This window comes from Homo sapiens, chromosome 17, assembly GCF_000001405.40.
Source record: "Homo sapiens chromosome 17, GRCh38.p14 Primary Assembly".
Lineage (NCBI taxonomy): Eukaryota > Metazoa > Chordata > Mammalia > Primates > Hominidae > Homo > Homo sapiens.
The window spans coordinates 53,745,770-53,750,423 of record NC_000017.11 but is presented as its reverse complement, the minus strand read 5'-3'; the positions used below and the strand labels follow the sequence as shown (position 1 = coordinate 53,750,423).

Below are 4,654 nucleotides of genomic sequence, written 5' to 3'. Positions count from 1 at the left end.
AGGGAGGGAGAGCATTAGGACAAATACCTAATGTATGCGGGACTTAAAACCTCAATGACAGGTTGATAGTTGCAGCAAACCACCATGGCATATGTATACCTATGTAACAAACTTGCACCTTCAGCACATGTATCCCAGAACTTAAAGTAAAATAAATAAATAAATAAATAAAATTATAAGGAAAAGAATATATTAACATATTTACTATTTACTAAGTGCAAGTGGATCATCATAATCGTCTTCCTCCTTGTCATCTTCACATTGAGTAGGCTGAAAAGGAAAAGGAAGAGGAAGGGTTCATCTTTCTGTGTCAGGGTTGGCAGAAGAAAATTTACACAAAAGTGGACTAGGGCAATTCAAACCCATGTTGTTCAAAGGTAGACTGTACATTTAAAAGCAAAACATTTAACTGCCACCTCCTACACACTCCTCTACTTGTTGGAAGAGTAGGTTTTATGTAGTATATTAGAAATGCTTTCAGGGTCCTTGTCTAGTCCACACTGATTCTTTGTGAGTTGCCAGGGATGGGTTCTTCCAGGCAAATTTTATGATGCTGGCTTTCTCCTTCCCAGCAATCTCATGGAAAAAGATTGCTACCTGAACCAGATTCCCTCTTACAAGGTCTAAAACTAAGAGATAGAAGCTCTGAGTCAGTCTACATTTTCTCTGCAACAGAAAGTTCATGAAAATTCAGGAACTGGAGGGCATAATATACAAAAGAGCATCAGAGAGAGGGTTTCTTTAGAAAGAAACAGAGGCAAGAGACACATTGGGGAAAGAGATAGAAAATGAAAGACTTCTTTGGTCCCTTTTGGCTTTCTGGTTTCCACATTCAGTCCCTGGTGTCCCAGGCTATTATTCCTATCTAGTATTTTATGACATAGTCAGATATTAGTTTAATAAGTTTCTTTTTGCCTAAACAAGCTTGAGGTACCCTTTATTACTTGTGACCAAAGGATCCTTGACTCAGGCAGGCAGATAATAAACTGTGAAAGACAGCAGGTGTTTCTGCTGAGTCAGCTTGCCTCCCTCTGAGTCACTCTCCCCAACCCACACCCCAGCACTGCTGCCAAGAGCCAAAGACTGGCTGCTGTTCCCTTGCCTCCTGGGACCACAAATTTTGAGTTATAATGTACAGTCCGTAGCTCCCTGTGAGATCAGACTGAGGCTGGAACTTCTGAAATTGTACCCTTGCTCAGTTTATTTCTCTTTTCTGTCCAGCTTCTTCCTCTCCCTTACCAGTTACTTCTAGGAACATTTACCTTATAAATCAATTGCACTCAAATCCTTGGCTACTAGTCTGTATCTGCGATAATTCCACCTAAGACAATGGTTCATCCTGCAAACACTAGGAAGAGAGTACTTGTACACAGTAAAGTAAATGAGCTGCCAGGTATAATTCTGCATTATTGGAAAATCAAATTAAATCTGATATGTTAAATATCAGCTAGTCTTCTTACTAATAAGGAAATGATATGGCGTGTTTTATTGCGGGATCTGGCCAGTAGCCTGCAATGCAATGGGACTCTCTCTTTGTTCCCAGGCAGATCGGCAGGACGAGAAATAATGGACACACACAAGATAGTGAAAGCTGGGTCCAGGGGGGTCACCGCCTTCTGGTCCTGTGATGCCGCCAATGCACTGGGTATACCAGCATTTATTATTAAGTTTAGTGAGGGCGGGGTAGGTTAGTGAGGGATTTAGGGTCGTTTGATTATGAGGTGAGATGGTCACATGGGGATGAAGTAATTCTTTAACATAACATCGGTATGCAGAAGTACAGTATACAGAGATAAGAATTTTCAATATAGTGTGTGTGTCAGCAATTTCTAACAGAGTCTTAAAACAGAAACACAGTCTATCCATAACCTATGATTAGCAAGATATTAATCAGCAGTAACAGTTGCAGCAAAAGCTGGTTGCGAACAATCAATAGAAACAGGAAGTTAAGCTAGACAACTGGTTAGACCAAAAATTCTCAGAAGGGAGTGTGCCTTAACCCTAAAGAGACCTAGAAGAGCTGTGGCAAGATAAGGGCTTTTATAGCCCTATCTTATCCATATGAACAGGCGCCCCGCATGTGTCCTCTTATAGGCTCTCCACAAGGGTCGCATTCCATTCCCAGAGCTATGAATATCTACTTTTCTGGGATAGGAATCTTGGTGATGTGAAACCTCCCTGACTGCACGTTCATTTATAGGCTCTCTGCAGGGGGAAGCACATCATGCGCTGTTGGCTCATTCTGGCAGCCCAACCTGGCATTGTCTTTACACAATCCTGCATGCAATTTTGTATTTACAATAATCAGGAGCATTTCATCTTTTATTCCATAGCAATAGTTTCAAGGCATCTCCCTACAGTGTTTGCACTGAAATATGTATCTGTTTGGGGACCTAGAATAAGATTTGATGAATGGCACATCCTGTGTTCTGGTGTAACCTATTATACAATCATTGTAATGTCAAACATACTCTGGGTAAGAATAATATAAATAATTAGGGGCCAGCTAAGTTATTTAACTATATATTACACTATTCATAGTAAAACATTATATATACACCTTTACTTTTAAAATTACTTTCTCATATGTCATTACAATTCTGTACTGTAAATTGCTTTTCGAAAGTCATAGAGCCAGTGATAGCCAGTGTGTTTTAATTCAAACTCTTGAATTGTTTCTCTAAGTCATGATGCAAATTAATGAAAGTTATTTCCTGTTGTAGTTATTGTATCACAAATAATGGGTTCACCAATGAAGAACATGTTCAAAGGTTTCAAGGTAAGCTGGATAATACATGAAAAAGAGAGCATGTTCCTTGCTGTCAAAGAACTTACAGTGTAATTAAGATAGCAATTTGATTTGTCTTAGTTGTATTTATTTTTGTGTTCACTTACACCATGAGTAATCTCATATCTTTATTTGGGTAGCTTTTTTTTTCAAGAAATGATAGTCTGCATTAATAAGACTGAGAAGACTGATTTAATACTGTTTAATCATTAGTGTTTGATTTTAATGGGTTACTACTTTCCTCCTTGGTAATGAGGCACAGTTGCATGCAAGGTTTTTATTCTGTCTTAATCCTGTAAGTCTCAGAAATACTGAATAAACCTAATCTAAGTACTTTCCTAATTTTGAGTGTAGAGTCTATCCAGAAAAAAGCTAAACTTCTAGAGAAGTCTGAATTTCAATAACTTTTTAAAATTTCTTGCTGAGTCCTTATTTTCTAAGCTATAAGACCTGTGAATAAATATGATGTCATGAAAATACAACTCTGGTGAAAAGTGCCAGCCCTTACCCATGTTAAGAGAGGATGATACTTTAAGCCAAGAGCCTATTCCCTCTTCGAATCTCTCTCTGCTTTATTCTTCTCACCACAGATGCAGCCTCCCTCTCTATGCATCTTCCTCCACTTAATCTCTATTCCACCTCTGGGCCATCACTTTGAAATACACAGTATCTGGAAAAGAAGGCCTCAGGAGAAGATATGATTTCTCAACATATTTTATAGGTGAATCTACAGGAGGAAGAAATAAAATTTTTTAAAAGCCCAAGATTTAATGAAAATGGGAACAAATCATAGTGGAATGCAGTTTCAGGTATGAGCTACAAGCACATTAAGGAACATTGAAGTTGAGTGTGCTTTATATTCCTAATGTCTTGAGCACACTGTGATTTAAAATAGCTATTAAAGATTATGCAAAATGTGCAAAATTAATGTGCAACGATTTTACTTTTGATGAGTCTCCTTTTTTATTTTAATATCCTCTACCTTCTTGCCTTAATTTCCCTATCCTGTCAGTTAGCTTGAGTTCAGAAATAGAAAGTCAACTTATTTGACCTTATAATGGTCAAGTTTAACTTGTTAATAGGAACTATACCATTAACTTGTTAATGGTATAGTGAAAAGAGACAGATGCTTTGAAGTCATAAAAAAGAGTTTCAAATTCTAGCTCTGTCACATACTGTTTTTCCTTACACAAGTTGTCTCTTTGGTTATTCTGGCTTTCATAGATAAGTAGGTGTAATACCCACTTGTTTGTTTGCAGTTATTGTGAGGCTTAAGCAAGATAATGCATGTAAAGCATGTAAAATGCCTTGCACAGTGCCTAAAATATAAAGTGTCAATGGCTCTTTAAACAATATAACAATTTTTAGCAATCCTTATCATTTGATTACAGATAATTCTTGGTAAAATATTCATTATAATTAAAAAATATACATATTATAAGCAAATTAAAGGAGAGGATTACATTTTCTTTGCAACTACTCCTCTCAATTCCTTAGAGCATCTTAATCATATTGTAAGTTCCTGATAAATAAGCATCAAATTTTGGATTATGAAAAGAAATTATAAATTACATATGTATATGGGATTTTTTTATATTTTAAGATTTTCAAGAAGTCCCATTGTAAAAAGACATTAGTGAAGAAAACCTAGTGAAATCTAAGTTTAGAGTTCAGAGTAATGTACCAATGTTGGCTTCTTATTCGTGACAAGTGTACTATAGAGATATATACTATTAAAAATAGGGGGACTTGGATGAGGAATGTACGGACACTCGGTATGATTTTTGCAACTTTTCTCTAAATCTGACATTATTCTATATAAAACACTAATTTTTAAAAAAAGTCTTCTTCCCAACCAAAACTAAA

At 36.5% G+C, this 4,654-nt stretch overlaps 1 long non-coding RNA gene across 1 annotated transcript; it reads left to right on the top strand.

Annotated features, from left to right (window-relative positions):
* Positions 1-1,547: 1,547 nt before the first annotated feature.
* Positions 1,548-3,452, top strand: LOC107984982 (uncharacterized). Its single transcript, XR_001753060.1, has 3 exons — positions 1,548-1,645; positions 2,724-2,779; positions 3,379-3,452. It is a non-coding gene; the product is annotated as an uncharacterized LOC107984982 (long non-coding RNA).
* Positions 3,453-4,654: the final 1,202 nt, after the last annotated feature.